Source organism: Homo sapiens, chromosome 19 (assembly GCF_000001405.40).
Source record: "Homo sapiens chromosome 19, GRCh38.p14 Primary Assembly".
Taxonomy (NCBI): domain Eukaryota; kingdom Metazoa; phylum Chordata; class Mammalia; order Primates; family Hominidae; genus Homo; species Homo sapiens.
Window position 1 is genome coordinate 49,066,706 of NC_000019.10, and position 18,606 is coordinate 49,085,311.

At 52.5% G+C, this 18,606-nt stretch overlaps 1 protein-coding gene and 1 pseudogene across 1 annotated transcript, besides 4 other annotated features; one reads left to right on the top strand and one right to left on the bottom strand.

The window, feature by feature from the left end:
* On the bottom strand, window positions 692-5,994 carry KCNA7 (potassium voltage-gated channel subfamily A member 7). The gene is made up of 2 exons (NM_031886.3): window positions 5,326-5,994; window positions 692-4,173 (listed from the first exon to the last, which is right to left on the bottom strand). Exons 1-2 carry the CDS (start codon window positions 5,878-5,880, stop codon window positions 3,358-3,360), a joined length of 1,371 nt encoding a protein of 456 aa, NP_114092.2. The 5' UTR covers window positions 5,881-5,994; the 3' UTR covers window positions 692-3,357.
* Window positions 4,885-5,386: an enhancer, noted in NCBI's record as "H3K4me1 hESC enhancer chr19:49574847-49575348 (GRCh37/hg19 assembly coordinates)". NCBI's record gives its function as "activates a minimal SCP1, AML or CMV promoter by ChIP-STARR-seq in naive H9 embryonic stem cells {active_cell/tissue: H9 hESC(naive)}" and the evidence as "EXISTENCE:reporter gene assay evidence [ECO:0000049][PMID:30033119]".
* Window positions 5,387-5,886: an enhancer, noted in NCBI's record as "H3K4me1 hESC enhancer chr19:49575349-49575848 (GRCh37/hg19 assembly coordinates)". NCBI's record gives its function as "activates a minimal SCP1, AML or CMV promoter by ChIP-STARR-seq in naive and primed H9 embryonic stem cells {active_cell/tissue: H9 hESC(naive and primed)}" and the evidence as "EXISTENCE:reporter gene assay evidence [ECO:0000049][PMID:30033119]".
* Window positions 7,353-7,512: a silencer, noted in NCBI's record as "fragment chr19:49577315-49577474 (GRCh37/hg19 assembly coordinates)". NCBI's record gives its function as "represses an EF-1alpha promoter that drives an FKBP-Casp9 reporter gene in an ReSE screen in phorbol 12-myristate 13-acetate-treated (for megakaryocytic differentiation) K562 erythroleukemia cells {active_cell/tissue: K562(+PMA)}" and the evidence as "EXISTENCE:reporter gene assay evidence [ECO:0000049][PMID:32094911]".
* Window positions 14,627-14,925, top strand: RN7SL708P (RNA, 7SL, cytoplasmic 708, pseudogene; annotated as a pseudogene).
* Window positions 18,422-18,491: an enhancer, noted in NCBI's record as "active region_14925". NCBI's record gives its function as "activates an Ori minimal core promoter by ATAC-STARR-seq in GM12878 lymphoblastoid cells {active_cell/tissue: GM12878}" and the evidence as "EXISTENCE:reporter gene assay evidence [ECO:0000049][PMID:35858748]".

The following is an 18,606-nucleotide window of genomic DNA, read 5'->3' on the forward strand; positions in this document are numbered from 1 at the left end:
CTCTGTCTCTGGATCTCTGTCCCCCCTCTCTCTGGGTCTCTGTTCCCCCCCAGGTCTCTGTCCCCCCTTCTCTCTGGGTCTCTGTCCCCCTCTTTCTAGGTCCCAGTTTTCTTCTCTCTGGATATCTGTCCACCCTCTCTGGGTCCCAGTCTCCTTCTTGCTGAGCCTCTTGCATCCTCTCTCTTGGGGTCACTGTCTGCTTCTCTTTCCCCTCGTGGGGGTCTCTGTTCCCGCTCCCGGCCATCTGCCCTCTTCCCCCTTGCCCTTGGATTTCTCTCTTTTGCTCTGTGCCTCTCCTCCCTCCTGGCCTCAGTTCCTGTCTGTGTCTCCTCTTTAGGTCTCTGTGCTGGAGTCCAACCTGTCTCTTGTCACTGTGAGGTCCGTCTCCATTCTGTCCCTAAATCTGGCTTTCTCTCCATTTCAGAGAGAAGTGACTACCTAAAGCTTCTATTAATTTCAACCATTATCAAACTCCTCTCACCATCTGTACCTTCTCTTTAGCTGTATGAAAAGGTGCTCAGATGAAACCAGGGGTTTCCACACTGAATTCCTGAGCTGCATTTTGAGTTGCCAAGAGGAGGCGTGTTCTCCTCCAACCAGTTCCCTTCCCATGCTTCCCACTGGTGTCTCTAAGGAAGATTTATTTGACCCAAAAAAGGGGTGGGTATGGCTAAAAATAACAACAACAGTCTGTAAACCACTGGATAGGTTTTAATAAATTAACCCAAGTAAAGTACTTTGATACCAAAGGAAGCCCTATATGTGTTAGTGATTTCAGCCTTCTTCCTCTAAATGCCCTTTGAGTTCTGAAAGATTTCTGAAAATGTTCGGCCTTGTGACCTTGGGTAACACCTGCTGCTCTGAGCCTCAGTTTCCCCGTCTGTAAGAAATGAGGCTACGGGACTCAGGAGGACCCGTGTGTCCCAGCAGGCTGATGGGGACATGTGAAGCAGACAGACAGCCTGCCTGGCCCCTGGGGACAAGCTGTGAGACCTTGGGAAGCCACTCCCCTGCTCTGAGACTCAGGTTTCTCCCCTGGAAAACAGAGTGAGGCCCCCAGCCTGTCTGACAGCCTTCCTGAGCTGCAGGGAGGGTAGGTGACAGGCCTGGTTCAGGATTGTTCTGTGATTCTATGGAATAGACTGTACATCACTCTTGGGTTCAGGGGCACCAACTTTTTCTGGCTTTTTCTTTTCTTTTCTTTTTTTTTTTGAGACAGAGTGTTGCTCTGCTGCCCAGGCTGGAGTGCAGTGGCGCAATCTCGGCTCACTGCAAGCTCCGCCTCCCAGGTTCATGCCATTCTCCTGCCTCAGCCTCCCGAGTAGCTGGGACTACAGGTGCCCGCCACCGCACCCGGCTAATTTTTTTGTATTTTTAGTAGAGACGGGGTTTCACCGTGTTAGCCAGGATGGTCTGGATCTCCTGACCTCGTAATTTGCCCACCTCGGCCTCCCAAAGTGCTGGGGTTACAGGCATGAGCCACCGCGCCCGGCCTTTTCTGCCTTTTTCTATTGTGGTTCTCTTTCCCTGAGACTCTGTTGTTCTGTCTCCAACTCTGGGTGTCTGACGCTGCCCTCTGGGTCTCTGTCCCTCCCTCCCCCACTGGCTCTTTTTGTTTGTTTGTTGAGACGGGGGCTCCCTCTGTTGCCCAGGCTGGAGTGCAGTGGTGCAATCATGGCTCAATGCAGCCTCTACCTCTCAGGGTCAAGGGATCTTTCTGCCTCAGCTTCCTGAGTAGCTGGGATCACAGGCATGTGCCACCACACTCAGCTAATTTTTGTATTTTTTGTAGAGATGGGGTCTCACCATGTTGCCCAGGCTGGTCTTGAACTCCTGGCCTCAATCAATCCCCCTTCCTCGGTCTCCCAGAGTGCTGAGATTACAGGCATGGGCCACTTCGCCCGGCTTCTATCCCCTGCTCTTGGTCTCTGTCTCCCCACTCTGGATTTCTGTTCCTCTCTTCTGCGTCTCTGCCATACCCCACCCTCCAGGTCATTGTCTCCCTCTCCCTGAGTCTCTGTTTCTCTCCCTTTGGGTCTCTGTCTCTCTGGGTTTCCACCTCTTCCTTTTTCTGGGTCTCTTTCTCTATCCTTTTGGCTCTGTCCCTCTATCATGTCTGGACAGAGTACAGTTTTCTCCCCCTCTCCCCTTTCCCTTGTGGCTCTGACCTCCATGTCTGAGCATAAAACTGTAGGGGAGAATGGGAGTGAACAGCACAATGAAGTGGATGTGGGGTAAACAGGAGGAGCATCCACCTCTTCCTAATTTACCCAGTCGCCTCTGGATGAACACCCAATCCCATGGATACAGAATCCAGTCCCGCCCCCTACAGCGAGCTGGGGAGCCAGCTCGGCACACCTCCCAGAGCCCTCGCCACTGCATGCTCCCAGATACATGATGCTTCCCCACTGCTATTTCCTTTGGGTCCTGGTGCTACCACTAAATGCAAAACAGCCCGATGTGGCCCTATGGAACTCGTTCGCACAGTCCAACTCAACCCAACTTCCTGTAGGACTCACATAGTGACACAACTCAATGGAACTCAATTCAGCATGGCCCTATGAGACTCAAACAGTGGCATGACCCAACTGAACTGGCCTTACAAGGCTCATATGGTTGTACAATTCAACACAACTCAACTCGCTGTGGCCACGAAAAATGTCCAGCCACACACCTCTACACAGTTAAGCCCAACAGAACCCTACAAGATTCATTTGGTCATACAAACTTAACCCAATGTGACCTAGAAAGCTCAAATTCTACCACTGGACTCTTCACATTTCTACATGACTCGCAAGTTCACAGAACCTAAAATAACATGCCCCTGGAAGAATCACAGAGCTACACAATTTCCACCATGTCTCAACGAAACTTAACACCACACACATTCGATCTCAACAATGCCATGGGGGACCATCTAACTTGACCCAACATGGCCCTAGGGGACCCACCAAACCACAGAATCCTACACAATGCAGCTGGACCACACTATCCCAGACTCACAACCCAACCAAACCCAACACTGACCTAGGAAACTCACAAAATGATACGACCAAACCTATCTCAACACTACCCCAAAAGGCTCCATGAGCTTTGCACAACTCAGAGTAATATGAACCAATTGAGTCTTCATTAACACAACACAACCCATTGCCATTCGCTGCTGCTTCAGGAGGTACCCACAGGAGCTACCAAACCACACAACCCAAGACCCAACAAGACTCAGTGTTTCCCCACTCGTTACGACTTAACCTAGCTCTTCCTAAACCCAATCCCCTCCCCCCAGCCTTGCCCTCCACCCTGCCCTCCCTCCCTCCCTCTAGGGAGGTGTGAGGTCCTGCAGACCTCAACTGTTCCTCACACTTCGGTGACCAGGTGTTTCCCTGGGGGTGCCCAGAGTGGAGGTGGTAGCTCAGGTACCTCCCCGTCCACCAGCCCCCCATTGGCCTTGCCCTCCAGTGGGCCACAAGGCTGCATGTCCACATGGCTGAACATCCCAGCCTCTTCGCCCTCTGTCTCCCGGTGATAAAAGTAGCTGAAATTGGAGACAATGACGGGCACTGGCAGGGAAATAGTCAGCACGCCCGCAATGGCACACAGAGAGCCCACTATCTTGCCACCCACAGTGACGGGTGCCATGTCTCCATAGCCAACTGTAGTCATGGTGACTACCGCCCACCAGAAGGACTCAGGGATGCTAGTGAAATGGGAGTCCACCCGGTCAACTTCGGCAAAGTAGACGGCGCTGGAAAAGAGGACCACACCGATGAAGAGGAAAAAGATGAGGAGGCCCAGCTCACGCATGGAGGCCCGAAGCGTCTGGCCCAAGATTTGCAGGCCCTTTGAGTGCCGGGACAGCTTGAAGATGCGGAAGACACGCACCAATCGGATGACTCTCAGGATGGCCAGTGACATGGCCTGCTGGCCCACCCCTCGCTGCCGGGCCAGCTCGGTGCCCAGTGCCACAAAGTAGGGAAGGATAGCCACAAAATCGATGAGGTTCATCACGTTCTTGAAGAAGATAGCCTTGCTTGGACAGACCAGGAGGCGTACCAGCAGCTCAAAGGAGAACCAACAAATACACAGCGTCTCCACCACGAAGAACGGGTCATTGAAGGGCAGGCGGGGTGGATTTCCAGGCATTTGGCTGGAGCCATTCAGCGGAGCGGGGAACTGCAGGGAGGAAAGTGTTCAGGGAGGGTCAGGCTGGGGCTAGGACACGGGGACAGCCTTAATCATCATTTAAATACCCAGCTCCTCTTTACACATTGGTCAGTAGCCGCTGCGCCAAGGCCCTCCGTGACCTGGTTATCCCAGACTTCCTCCCAGGATCCCAGGGATCATCCCTGGGCCGCTGACTTTCTGGTTGCCTGACCTGGTGGGTGGCTGGAGACGTGGTCCCTGCCCCTTCATGCGTGGGAACTCATGTTTGAGTAGGGTGCAACCTCTTCTCTCTCAAAGTCCCGCCTCCAGTGTTGATTTTCTAGATGGGGAGCATCCCTGCCCTGGCCCCACCACCTTGTGCCTAGCTTTTCCTTGCCCTCCACAGTCCCAGCCCAGAGTATAATGCGGCTGGGCGCGGTGGCTCACGTCTGTAATCCCAGCACTTTGGGAAGCCGAGGCGGGCGGATCACGAGGTCAGGAAATAGAGACCATCCTGGCCAACACGGTGAAACCCCATCTCTACTAAAAATACAAAAATTAGCCGGGCGTGGTGGCCTGCACCTGTAATCCCAGCTACTTGGGAGGCTAAGGCAGGAGAATCGCTTGAACCCGGGAGGCAGACCTTGCAGTGAGCCGAGATAGCGCCATTGCACTCCAGCCTGGGCGACAGAGCAAGACTCTGTCTCACAGGAAATAAAAAAAAAAAGACCTTCTCTGCAAGCCGAGCCCTAGGCCCCCTCCTCTGGCCCCTCAACCTGGCTTTCTTTCCATAGATTCCTCCTACTGTCGCCCCTCGGGCTCCAGCACCCTCAGCTGGAGTTATTCAGGGCCTGGCTTTCACCACCCAGCCGCACAGACTCCGGAGTTTTCAGGCTCTCCTTGGCCCCCCTCAGCTGTGATTTTTAAGGTTCCTGTCCTCCTACCCCTTGCATCAAGGGCCCTGCCCTCTTCACGCCGGGTTTCTCACTGACCTCAACCCCACCTTCTGATGGGGCAGGTCCTCCGACCCGGATCCTCAGGCCCCGCCTCCCGCCCACCCTGTCTTCGGCTGGCCCACCCCTCGCAGCCCCTGGCCCCGCCTTATGATTGGCCAGGTCCCCTCTGGACCCCGCCCATCTCCTCCCAAACCCCGCCCGTCTCCACCCACGCCCCGCCTCTCACCGGGCCGGCTGCGGCTGCAGCAGCAAGCCCCGTGCCGTCGCGGTCGTCGCGGAAGTCAGGCAGCGTCTCGAGGCAGAAGACGACGATGGAGACGAGGATGACCAGCACGGAGACTACGGCGAGCACGCGCGCGGCCTGAGAGCTCTCGGGAAACTCGAAAAGCAGCCACAGCTGGCGGGCGAAGGCGCGGCGGGGCAGGGGGCGCTCGGGCGGCACCGGGCAGCCCTCGTCCTCGCGCAGGCGTGCCAGGGCCGCCGCGCCCAGCCCGTAGAAGGCCACCTCTTCCAGGAAGACGTCGAGCGGCACGTGCGCCGGCCGCCGCAGCCGCCCACCGGACTGGTAGTAGTAGAGCACGGCGTCGAAGCTGGGCCGGTGCCGGTCGAAGAAATACTCGCGGCGCGCGTCGTCGTAGAAGCGGCCGCGGCGCGCTGGGTCCCCTAGCAGAGTGTCCGGGAAGCGGCCCAGCGTGCGCGCCCGCGTCTCGAAGCGCAGCCCGGCCACGTTGAGCACCAGCCGCTCGCAGCAGCCGCACGGCGGCGGGCACCGCGGCTCCATGGCGCGCGCAGCCCCGGCGACCCGCGAACCGACGTGTGGCCCCGACGCCCGGCCCCGGTGCGGCCCCGCCTCGGCCGCCTCGGCCGCCGCCGCCGCCGCCCCAGCCCGGTGTCCGGTGTCCGGTGTCCGCGCGTAAAAATAGCCCGGCAGGGCGGCTAGGGCGCGAGGGAGGGGGCACTGTGACCCCGGCGGGGCGGAGGGCGACAGGGCGACCGCGCGCCCTCTGCCGGGACGCCCGCCCTGCCCTGCCCCGCCGCCGCCGCCGCCCGCGCCTGCTCTGCGCCTTTCCCGTCCCGGGGTCCCCTTTCTCTCCGTCCTTCTGCCGCCGGGATCCTGTCCTGCGTCTCTCCAAGTTTCCGTGTGCGTGTGTTTCGTCAGAATCAGGCTTCAGTTGCAGTCGCCTCTTTTCTTTTCTCTTTCTTCTTTCTTTCTGTCTTTTTTTTTTTTTTTTTTTTTGAGACACAGTTTCCCTCTGTCGCCCGGGCTGGAGTGCAGTGGCGCGATCTCGGCTCACTGCAACAACCTCCACCTCCCGGGATCAAGCGATTCTCGTGCCTCAGCCTCCCTAGTAGCTGGAATTACAGGCGCCACCAAGCCCAGCTAATTTTTTTTCTTTTTTCTTTTTTAGTTGAGAAGGGGTTTCACCATGTTGGCCAGGCAGGTCTGGTACTCCCGACCTCAAGTGATCTGCCCTCCTTGGCCTCCCGAATTGCTGGGGTTACAAGCGTGAGCCACGGCGCCCGGCCTGGAGTCGCCCTGTTTGCACCTTTGTCTCTCACTCTCTTGTGTGTCTGTGTCCGGCTGTCCCCTCTGGGTCTCTGTCTCTTTTGGGATGTATCTCTGAGTATCTCTATGGGTCATTTATTTCTGAGATTCGTCGTTCTGGGGGCCTCTGTATGGGTCCCTCTGCCAGCCTCTACGTCTCGGTCTCCGCCTTTATTTTGACTCTTGGTCTGTCTCCGTTTATCTCTTGTCTCTCTTGGTCTCTTTGTCTCTCCTCTCTAGGTCTCTTTTTGCTCATTATCTCTTAGCCCTCCATGTCTCTGTCTCAGGGTTCCTCGGCCGCTCCCCTTTGGGTCTCCCCTTGGGGTCTCTAGAGGACTTAGGGTCTCCGGAGTCATATCTCTTGATCTCTCCCTGACCATCACTCCATGTGGGTGCTGCCACAGTCCCGGTGGCTGTCCCATCCTAGGGTCACTCTGGCAGCTGCAAACCACTGAGCATGTGCACACACGCCCCATTCTCTCCCCAGAGTTCGCTCCAGAGTCTCCACCTGGATTCTTCGCAAGACTTTCTGAGACCTAGCAGGACCTGAGCTGCGGCTATGACTCTGGCAAAAGGAGTCTGGTCTTGCCGGAACGGGCGGGGGTTGGGGGTGTGGGCCGGGGAGATGCCACAGGGTCATTTTCAGGAACTGAAGGGCGCAGAGACAAGACGGTGGCCTTCTAGCCACTGGTGTCCGGTGACACTGCATAAAAATAGCTCCATCAGATGGGCTTGGGGGAAGTGGAGGGGTTTGATCACTGAGACTCCCAGGAAAGAAGTCCTGGTCGCCCTCTGCTGGGGGTGTGGAGAGAGGTAGGTACTAAGGGTTCGAACGCCCTGCTAATCCTGGCACTCTTTCTCTTCCTGTCTTCCTTCCTTCCATTCCTTCTCTCTTCTTTTCTTCTTTCTTTCTTTCTTTTTTTTTTTTTCTTGAGAGGAGTTTCCCTCTTGTTGTCCAGGCTAGAGTGTGGGGACGTGATCTCAGCTCACTGCAACCTCCGCCTGCCAGTTTCAAGCGATTCTCCTGCCTCAGTCTCCTGAGTAGCTGGGACTCCAGGCACCCGTCACCACACCCACCTAATTTTTGTATTTTTAGTAGAGACAGGGTTTCACCATGTTGGCCAGGCTGGTCTCGAACTCCTGACCTCGTGACCGCCTGCCTTGGCCTCCCAAAGTTCTGGGATTACAGACGTGAGCCACTGCACCCGGCCTTTTCTTTCTTTTTCTTTTTCTTGAGACGGAGTCTTGCAGTCGCCCAGGCTAGAGTGCAGTGTTGCGATCTTGGCTCACTGCAACCTCCGCCTCCTGAATTCAAGCAATTCTCCTGCCTTAGCCTCTGGAGTAGCTGGGATTACAGGCGCCCACCACACGCGGCTAATTGTTTGTGGGCGGCAAGCCACCCAGGTGCCGAGGCAAGAGACCGAGGGCACGAGCTGTTCCAGTATAATAAAATATATAAAATAAGAATAGTTATAGTAGATATAGATCATAGATATGATTATATATGAATATCATTAATCATTAGTTTGTAGCAATTACTCTTTATTCCAATATTATAATAATCCTCGCTCTACAATCATAACCTAGGAAAAACCAGGCCATACAGAGATAGGAGCTGAGGGGACATAGCGAGAAGTGACCAGAAGACAAGAGTGCGAGCCTTCTGTTATGCCTGGACAGGGCCACCAGAGGGCTCCTTGGTCTAGCGGTAACACCAGCGTCTGGGAACACGCCCGTTGCCAAGTGGACCATGGTCTAGTGGTAGCCTCAGTGCCAAGGAAAACCACCCGCTACTTAGCAGACCAGGAAAGGGAGTCTCTCTTTCCCTGGGGGAGTTTAGAGAAGACTCTACCCCTCCACCTCTTGTGGAGGGCCTGACATCAGTCAGGCTCACCCGCAGTTACCCAGAGGCCTAACCATCTCCCTGTGATGCTGTGCTTCAGCTCCTAGTCCGCTTTCATGTTCCATCCTGTACACCTGGCTCTGCCTTCTAGATAGCAGTAGCAAATTAGTGAAAGTACTAAAAGTCTCTGATATGCAGAAATAATGGCGTAAGCTGTCTCTCTTTCTCCTCTCTCTCTGCCTCGGCTGCCAGGCAGGGAAGGGCTCCCTGTCCAGTGGATACGTGACCCAGGGGACCTTACCTATCCTTGGAGATGTCTCACACTCCTCACCCTGCCTCTTTGTCTTATATCCAATAAATATCAGCACAGCCAGGCATTCGGGGCCACTACCGGTCTCTGTGTCTTGGTGGTGGTGGTTCCCCGGGCCCAGCTGTCTTTTCTTTTATCTCTTTGTCTTGTGTCTTTATTTCCACAATCTCTCGTCTCTGCAAACGGAGAAAAACCCACCGACCCTGTGGGGCTGGACCCTACAATTGTTGTATTTTTAGTAGAGACAAGGTTTTGCCATGTTGGCCAGGCTGGTCTTGAACTCCTGACTTCAGGTGATCTGCCCGCCTCGGCCTCCCAAAGTGCTGGGATTACAGGCATGAGCCACCTCACCCGGCCCTTTTCTTTTCTTTCTTTCTCTCTCTCTTTCTTTCTTTCTTTATTTTTTGAGACAGGGTCTCAGTCTGTTGCCCAGGCTGGAGTCTAGTGGCACAATCTTGGCTCACTGCAGCCTCGACTTTCTGGGCTCAAACGATCCTCCCACTTCTTTTTTTTTTTTTTTTTTTTGAGACGGAGTTTCGCTCTTGTCACCCAGGCTGGAGTGCAATGGTGCAATCTCGGTTTACCACAGCCTCCGCCTCCCAGGTTCAAGTGATTCTCCTGCCTCAGCCTCTCAAGTAGCTGGGATTGCAGGCATGTGTCACCATGCCCAGCTAATTTTGTATTTTTAGTAGAGACTAAAATACATGTTCTCCATGTTGATCAGTCTGGTCTCGAACTCCTGACCTCAGGTGATACGCCCACCTTGGCCTCCCAAAGTGCTGAGATTACAGGCATGAGCCACCCCACCTGGCCCCTCCCACCTCTTCTAAGTAACTGGGACTATAGGCGTGAGCCACCATGCATGGCTATTTTTTGTAATTTTTGTAGAGACAGGGTCTTGCTATGTTGCCCACGCTGCTCTTCTACTCCTGAGCCCAAGCAATCCACCGTACTAGGCCTCTCCAAGTGCTAGGATTACAGGTGTAAGCCACTGCACCCACCCTGTCTGGGATTCTATGTCCCCTGGACTTCTATGTCCCTCTCTCTAGGTCTCTATCTTCCCTCTGTCTGGGTCTGTGTCCATTTATTTCACGGTCTTTGGCCTTCTCTATCTCTCTCTGTCCACCATCTTTCTGGTCTCTGTCTCCTATTTTCTCCCATTCTCGTTTTTTTTTTTTTTTTTTTTTTTTTTTTTGAGTCACAGTCTCGCTCTTGTTGCCCAGGCTGGAGTGCAGTGGCACGATCTCAGCTCACTGCAAGCTCCACCTCCCAGGTTCATGCCATTCTCCTGCCACAGCCTCCCGAGTGGCTGGGACTACAGGCGCCCGCCACTACGCCTGGCTAATTTTTTGTATTTTTAGTAGAGACGGGGTTTCACCGTGTTAGCCAGGATGGTCTCAATCTCCTGACCTCGTGATCCACCCACCTTGGCCTCCCAAAGTGCTGGGATTACAGGCGTGAGCCACCATGCCCAGCCTTTTTTTTTTTTTTTTTTTTTTTTTTTGAGATGGAGCCTTGCTCTGTCGCCCAGGCTGGAGTGCAGTGGTGTGATCTCGGCTCACTGCAACCTCCACCTCCTGGGTTCAAGTGATTCTCCTGCCTCAGCCTCCTGAGTAGCTGGGATTACAGGTGTGCGCAACCACACCAGGCTAATTTTTGTATTTTTAGTAGAGATGGGGTTTCACCATGTTGGCCAGGCTGGTCTCGAACTTCTGACCTCATGATCCGCCCACCTCGGCCTCCCAAAGTGCTGGGATCACAAGCGTGAGCCACCACACCCAACCTAATTTTTGTATTTTTAGTAGAGATGAGGTTTCACCATGTTGGCTAGGCTGGTCTCGAACTCCTGACCTTAAGTGATCCACTTGACTTGGCCTCCCAAAGTGCTGAGATTATAGGCGTGCACCACCGCACCCAGCCAAGGTGCCATTTTTTTGCTCAGGAAGTTAGAACAAAACTTAAAAGGTGGGTCAGGCACAGTGGCTCACTCCTATAATCCCATCACTTTGGGAGGCCGAGGTGGCTGGATTGCCTGAGGTCAGGAGTTCAAGACAAACCTAGTAAACATGGTGAAACCCCATTTCTACTAAAAATACAAAAATAAGCTGGGCCGGGTGGCTCGCGCCTGTAATCCCAGCTACTCTGGAGGCTGAGGTAGGAGAATCACTTGAACCTGGGAGGTGGAGGTTGCAGTGACCTGAGATGGCACCACTGCACTCCAGCCTGGGCAACAGAGTGAGACTCTGTCTCAAAAACAAAACAAAACAAAAAGCCAGGTGTGGTCATGCACATCAGTAATCCAGCTACTTGGGAGGCTGAGGTGGAAGGGTCATTTGAGCCAAGGAAGTCAAAGCTGCAGTGAGCTATGATCACACCACTGCACTCCAGCCTGGGTGACAAAGCAAGACCCTGTCTCAAAAAAATAAAAGATAAAAAATTAAGGCTGATGAGTTAGGGATATTATCTTGGATCATTTGGGTAGGCCCACTAATCATAAGGGTCTTTAAAAGAGGGACGTGGCTGGGTGCAGTGGCTCACTCCTGTAATCCCAGCACTTTGGGAGCCTGAGGCAGGTGGATCACCTGAGGCCAGGAGTTCAAGACCAGACCGGCCAACATGGCAAAACCCCATCCCTACTAAAAATAACAAAAATTAGCTGGACATGGTGGTGGGCGCCTGTAATCCCAGCGACTGGGGAGGCTGAGGCAGGAGAATCACTTGAACCCAGAAGGTGGAGGCTGCAGTGCACTGAGATTGAGCCACCGCACTCCAGCCTGGGCAACAGAGTGAGACTCTGTCTCACAAATAAAAAATCAAAAAAAAAGAGGGATGCAGGAAGGTCTGATTCATGGAAGATGTGAGGATGGACATAGAGGTCAGAGAAGAGAGGATGCCATGGTGCTGGCTTTGAAGTTTGAAGACGGAGGAACGGCCATGAGCCAAGGAATGGGGGCGGCTTCCCGAAGCTTGAAAAGGCAAGGAAACAGACTCTCCCCTAGAGCCTCCAGAGGAAACAGAGCCCTGTTTTCGACGTCTAACCTCTAGAATTGCATTCTAATAAACTTGTGTTGTTTTAAGCCACTAAGTTCGTGGTAAGTTGTTGTAGCGGCAACAAGAAAATAATACAGTCAGACTCTCCAATTCCTCAGAGTCATTCTCTGAGGTTATGGTAGCATTTGTTTTATTTTATTTTATTTTATTTATTTATTTATTTTTGAGACGGAGTCTCGCTCTGTCGCCCAGGCTGGAGTGCAGTGGCGGGATCTCGGCTCACTGCAAGCTCCGCCTCCCGGGTTCACGCCATTCTCCTGCCTCAGCCTCCCAAGTAGCTGGGACTACAGGCGCCCGCCACTACGCCCGGCTAATTTTTTTGTATTTTTAGTAGAGACGGGGTTTCACCGTTTTAGCCGGGATGGTCTCGATCTCCTGACCTCGTGATCCGCCCGCCTCGGCCTCCCAAAGTGCTGGGATTACAGGCGTGAGCCACCGCGCCCGGCCTATTTTATTTATTTTTTGAGACAGAATCTCACTCTGTTGCCCAGGCTGGAGTGCAGTGGTGCGATCTCGGTTCACTGCAACCTCCGCCTCCTGGGTTCAAGCAAGTCTTCTGCTTCAGCCTCCTGAGTAGTTGAGATTACAGGTGTGCGCCACCATGCCCGGCTAATTTTCTTTAAAATTTTTGGTAGAGATAAGGTCTCACTATGTTGTCCAGGCCGATCTTAAATTCCTGGGCTCAAACAATCCTCTGGCCTCAGCCTCCCAAAGCGCTAGGATTACATGTGTGAGCCACTGGCCCTGCTCTGCCTTTTTTTTTTTTTTTTTTTTTTTTTTTTGAGATGGAGTCTCACTCTGTCACCCAGTCTGGAGTGCAGTGGCCCAATCTTGGCTCACTGCAACTTCCACCTCCACAGACGCGTGCCACCACGCCCGGCTAAAATTTTTTTTGTATTTTAAGTAGAGATGGGGTTTCACTGTGTTATCCAGGCTGGTCTCAATTTCCTGACCTTGTGATCCACCTGGCTTGGCCTCCCAAAGTTCTGGGATTACAGGCATGAGCCACCGTGCCCGGGCTAATTTTTGGTCTCAATATGTTGGCCAGGCTGGTCTCGAACTCCTGACCTGAGGTAATCCTCCCACATCAGCCTTCCAAAGCGCTGGGATTACAAGTGCGAGCTATTGTGTTGGGCCTGTTTTGTTTCATTTTCACTTTGAACTATTTGTAGCCTTACAGAAGAGTTGCAAAGATTGTACAGACATTTAAAAAATATCCATCACCCAGGTTCCCCAAATGTTAGAATGTTGCATTGCTTTGGCAACGTTTGTTAAAGCTCAGACATTGGCCGGAGCAGTGCCTCGCGCCTGTAGTCCTAGCACTTTGGGAGGCTAGAGGGGACGGATCACCTGAGGTCAGGAGTTTGAGACCAGCCTGGCCAACATGGTGAAACCCCGACTCTACTAAAAGTACAAAAATTAGCTGGGCGTGGTGGCGGGTGCCTGTAGTCCCAGCTACTCGGGAGGCTGAGGCAGGAGAATGGCTTGAACCCGGGAGGTGGAAGTTGCAGTGAGCCAAGATCGCACCACTGCACTCCAGCCTGGGTGAGAGAGCCAGACTCTGTCTCAAAACCAAGACATTGAGGTGGCACAATACTTTTGACAAAATGAAAGAGTTCATTCAGGTTTTCTATATTTCCACTAATGTCTTTTTCCCACGCCAGGCTGCAGTCGGGGTTACTATGTTGCATTTGGTTGTCATACCTCCTTAGTCTTCTGCAATCTGTGATAGTTTGTTACTTTTTCCTTGTCTTTCATGATCTGGAAACTAGAAGAATACTAGTCAGTTGTTTTGTAGACTGTCTCTCAATTTGTGTTCCTCTGATCTGTTATCTTGCTTGGATTGAGGTTATACTTTTTGTTGGGTGGGGGTAGAGAGAATGCCACAGAGAGGCATTGCTCTTCTCATTATATCATACTGGGGGGTGTATGATGTCCATATGCCATATCACTGGTGATGTTAACATTTTTTTTCTTGAGACAAGGTCTCACTCTGTTGCCCAGGCTGGAGTGCAGTGTTGTAATCATAGTTCACTGCAGCCTTGACCTCCCAGGCTCAAACAGATCCTCCCACTTCAGCCTCTCAAGTAGCTGGGACTACAGACCTGAGCCACCACACCCGAATAATTTAAATCTATCTTTCTTTCTCTTTCTTTTCTTCTATTTCTTTTTGTTGTTGTTGTTGTTTTTGACGTAGTTTGGCTCTTGTTGCCCAGGCTGGAGTACAATGGCGCGATCTTGGCGATTCTCCTGCCTCAGCCTCCTGAGCAGCTGGGATTACAGGTGTGTGCCACCACACCTGGCTGATTTTTGTATTTTTAGTAGAGATAGGGTTTCACTGTGTTGGCCAGGCTGGTCTTGAACTCCTGATCTCAGGTGATCCACCCACCTCGGCCTTCCAAAGTGCTGGGATTACAGGCGTAAGCCACCGTGCCTGGCAAGTTTTCATTCTTAAAAAGGGATGTTCTGGACCAGGTGCGGTGGCTCACGCCTGTAATCCCAGCACTTTGGGAGGCCAAGACAGGCGGATCACGAGGTCAGGAGATCAAGACCATCTTGGCTAACACAGTGAAGCCCCGTCTCTACTAAAAATACAAAAAATTAGCCGAGTGTGGTGGCAGGCGCCTGTAGTCCCAGCTACCCAGGAGGCTGTGGCAGGAGAATGACATGAACCTGGGAGGCGGAGCTTGCAGTGAATCGAGATTGCGCCACTGCACTCCAGCCTGGGTGGCAGAGCAAGACTCTGTCTTAAATAAATAAATAAATAAAGAGAGGCAGCCAGGCTCTGTGGCACATGCCTGTAGTCCCAGCTACTTGGAGGCTGAGGCAGAAGGATTGTTTGAGCCCAGGAAGTTCTGGGCTGTAGTGTGTTATGCTGATTAGGTGTCCATACTAAGTTTGGCTTCAATATGGTAACCTCCCATGCGTGGGAGACTACCAGGTTGCCTAGCAGGGGTTGAACTGACCTAGGCTGGAAATGGATCAGGTCAAAACTCCCATGTTGATCAGGAGTGGGATCATGCCTATGAATAGCCACTGCACATGAGCCTGAGTGACACAGTGAGACCCTGTCTCTGAAAAATCAATCAATAAATAGGAAGCACAGCATAAAAGTTTAGAAAAGTCACAACCTGGCAATGTGGTAGAGAAGGGAAGAGCATTTTTTAGGAGAGAAATAGAAGCAGGCTGTATTGCCTTGCTGGAGAGGTTGCGTGACTAAAAGGAAGCCAAGTGCTAACATCCAAGACAATGGGAAAAAGGCCTTGAAGGCATTTCAGGAGTCTTCAAAACAGCCTCCCCCATCACAGGCTCTGAGGCATATAAGGAAAGAGTGGTTTACTGGGCCAGATCCAGGGCCCTGTCTCCTGCTCAGCCTGGGGACACTGCTCCCCTGCATCCCTGCTGTTCGATCACCAGCCATGACACACAGGGTCCCAAGTACAGCTTGGGCCACCACTCCAGAGGGTGCAAGCCATAAACTTTGGCAGCTTTCATGTGGGATTAAGCCTGCAGGTGCACAGAATGCAAGAGTGAAGGAAGCTTAGCAGCTCCCACCTGGATTTCAGAGGATGTGTAGGAAAGCCTGGGTGTCCAGGCAGAAGTCGGCTGCATGGTTGGAGTCCCTACAGAGAGCCTCTACTAGGACAGTGCCAAGGGGGAAAGGTGGGGTTGGAGGCCTAACATAGAGTCCCCACCAGGGCGCTGCCTAGTGGAGCTGTGAGAAGGGGACCCCTCCTCTCTAGATCCCAGAGTGACAGGTCTGCCAGCAGATTGCACCCTGAGCCTACAACAGCTGCAGGCACTAAACTCCAACCTGTGTGAGGAGACATTGGGGCTGGACTTTGCTGCCCAAGACTTTGGGAGCCCACTCCTTGCACCAGTGTGCCTTGGATGCAGAACATGGAATCAGGGATTATTTTGGAGCTTTAAAGTTTTTTTTTGTTTTTGTTTTTGTTTTGAGACAGAGTCTTTCTCTGTTGCTCAGGCTGGAGTGTAGTGGTGCAATCTTGGCTCACGACAACCTTCGCCTCCCGAGTTCAAGCAATTCTTCTGTCTCAGCCTCCTGAGTAGCTGGGATTACAGGCACCTGCCACCACACCTGGCTAATTTTTGTATTTTTAGTAGAGATGAGGTTTCACCATCTTGGCCAGGCTGGTCTTGAACTCCTGACCTCGTGATCCATCCACCTCGGCCTCCCAAAGTGCTGAGATGACAGGTGTGAGCCACTGTGCCAGGCTAGAGCTTTAAAGTTTAATGTCTTCTCTGCTGTGTTTCAGACTTCTGTTAAGCCTATTGTCCCTTTCCTTTGGCAGATTTCTCCCTTTTATTTTATTATTATTATTATTTTATTTTTATTGTTGTTGTTTTGAGACAAAGTCTCGCTCTGTTGCCACGCTGGAGTATAGTGGCACGATCCTGGCTCACCGCAACCTCTGCTTCCTGGGTTCAAGCAATTCTCCTGCCTCAGCCTCCCAAGTAGCTGGGACAACAGGCACGTGCCACCATACCCAGCTAATTTTTGTATTTTTAGTAGAGACAGGGTTTCACCATGTTGGCCAGGATGGTCTCGATCTCTTGACCTCATGATCTGCCTGCCTCAGCCTCCCAAAGTGCCAGGATTACAGGTGTGAGCCACCGTGCCCAGCCATCATTATTATTTTTTGAGATAGAGTCTTGCTCTGTCCAGGCTGGAGTGCAGTTGCACAGTCTCAGCTCACTGCAACCTCCACCTCCCAGATTCAAGCGATTCTCCTGCCTTAGCCTTCAAAGTAGCTGGGATTACAGGTGCATGCCACCATGTCCAGCTAATTTTTGTATTTTTAGTAGAGAAGGGGTTTCGCCATGTTGCCCAGGCTGGTCTTGAACTCCTGATCTCAGGGATCCTCCTACCTTGGCCTCCCAAAGTGCTGGGATTACAGGTGTGAGCCACCACACCCGGCCTATTTTATTTGTTTTTTTGAGACAGATTCTCACTCTGTTGCCCAGGCTGGAGTGCAGTCGTGCAATCTCTGCCTCCCGGGTTCAAGCAATTCTCCTGCCTCAGCTTCCCAGGTAGCTGGAATTACAGGTGCGTGCCACCACTCCCAGCTAATTTTTGTATTTTTAGTAGAGATGGGATTTCACCATGTTGGCCAGGCTGGTCTCGAACTCCTGACCTCAGGTGATCCGCCCACCTCGGCCTCCCAAAGTGCTGGGATTACAGGTGTGAGCCACCACACCCAGCCCTTTTCTTTCTTTTTTTTTTTTTTTTTTTGAGACGGAGTCTCGCTCTGTCGCCCAGGCTGGAGTCTAGTGGCACAATCTTGGCTCACTGCAGCCTCAACTTTCTCGGCTCAAACGATCCTCCCACTTCTTTTTTTTATTTGAGACGGAGTTTTGCTCTTGTCTCCCAGGCTGGAGTGCAATGGTGCCATCTTGGCTCACCACAACCTCTGCCTCCCAGGTTCAAGTGATTCTCCTGCCTCAGCCTCTCAAGTAGCTGGGATTATAGGCATGTGCCACCATGCCCAGCTAATTTTGTATTTTTAGTAGAGACGGGGTTTCTCCATGTTGATCAGTCTGGTCTCGAACTATTGACCTCAGGTGATCTGCCCGCCTTGGCCTCCCAAAGTGCTGGGATTACAGGCGTGAGCACTGCACTCGGCCTTTTTCTTGAAACATAAAATTAGTCATTTTAATTTGCAATAATTTCTGTAGTTATTAAACAGGCTATTGAATCCATCCACAAAACTTAAGATACAATACTTAAGAACAGGGCTCTAAATAACAAGTGCCAGCTCTCTGATCTCATGGCCAACAACCTGAGATTCCTGCCATCTGGTCTCAGTTCAGGACCTTTGCACTTACTGTTAAACACCGCCCCCCCGGCCCCACCCCAGATCTCGCTTCTATCTGTCCTTTATTCAAATGTTACCTCTTCAGAGGGGCCTTCCATTATCACCCTTTCTAAAACAGCCTCGCTCTCACTTCCCATCCCTTTATTCTGCTCCATCGTTCTTCATTATGCTGGCCACTATCTCAAATTATCTTTTATTATTTATTTATTTATTTACTTTTGAGACGGAGTCGCTCTGTCGCCCAGGCTGGAGTGCAATGGCACGACCTCGGCTCACTGCAACCTCCGCCTCCCGAGTTCAAGCGATTCTCCCGCCTCAGCCTCCAGAGTAACCGGGCTTACAGGCGCGCACGGCCACGCCCGGCTAATTTTTGTATTTTTAGTAGAGACGGGCTTTCACCATGTTGGTCAGGTTGGTCTCACACTCCTGACCTCAGGTGATCTGCCCGCCTCAGCCTCCCAAAAGTTCTGGGATTACAGGCGTGATCCACCGCGCCTGGCCTCAAATTATCTTTATTCAGTTAAATGCTTTTATTGTCTCTCCCAGTACAATGTAAGCCCTAGCAGCAGAAGACTTTGCTTTAATCACGTGCTGTACCCCCAAAGCCCAGACAGTGCCTAGCACACACGAGATGCTCGATGAATAGTTATTGATTGAATAGATTAGACATCAACGCAATCAGGCTGTTCACCTAGGGACTCTTTGCTAGGCGGCGGAGAGGTACGTTACAGTTCTCTACGCAAAACGCATGCGCGAAAGATCCGGGAAGTGTGATCGGAAAGGGGCGGAGCATCAGGGAGAGTCTCGCGGACATAGGCGGTTCGGCGCGGAAAGCGGGAGGTGGAGGGGCGGCTTGGGGCAAGCGCGCGCGCGCAGTGCAGAAGCCAGCCCCCCGCGGCTGAGGTACTCAAGGTGCCCAA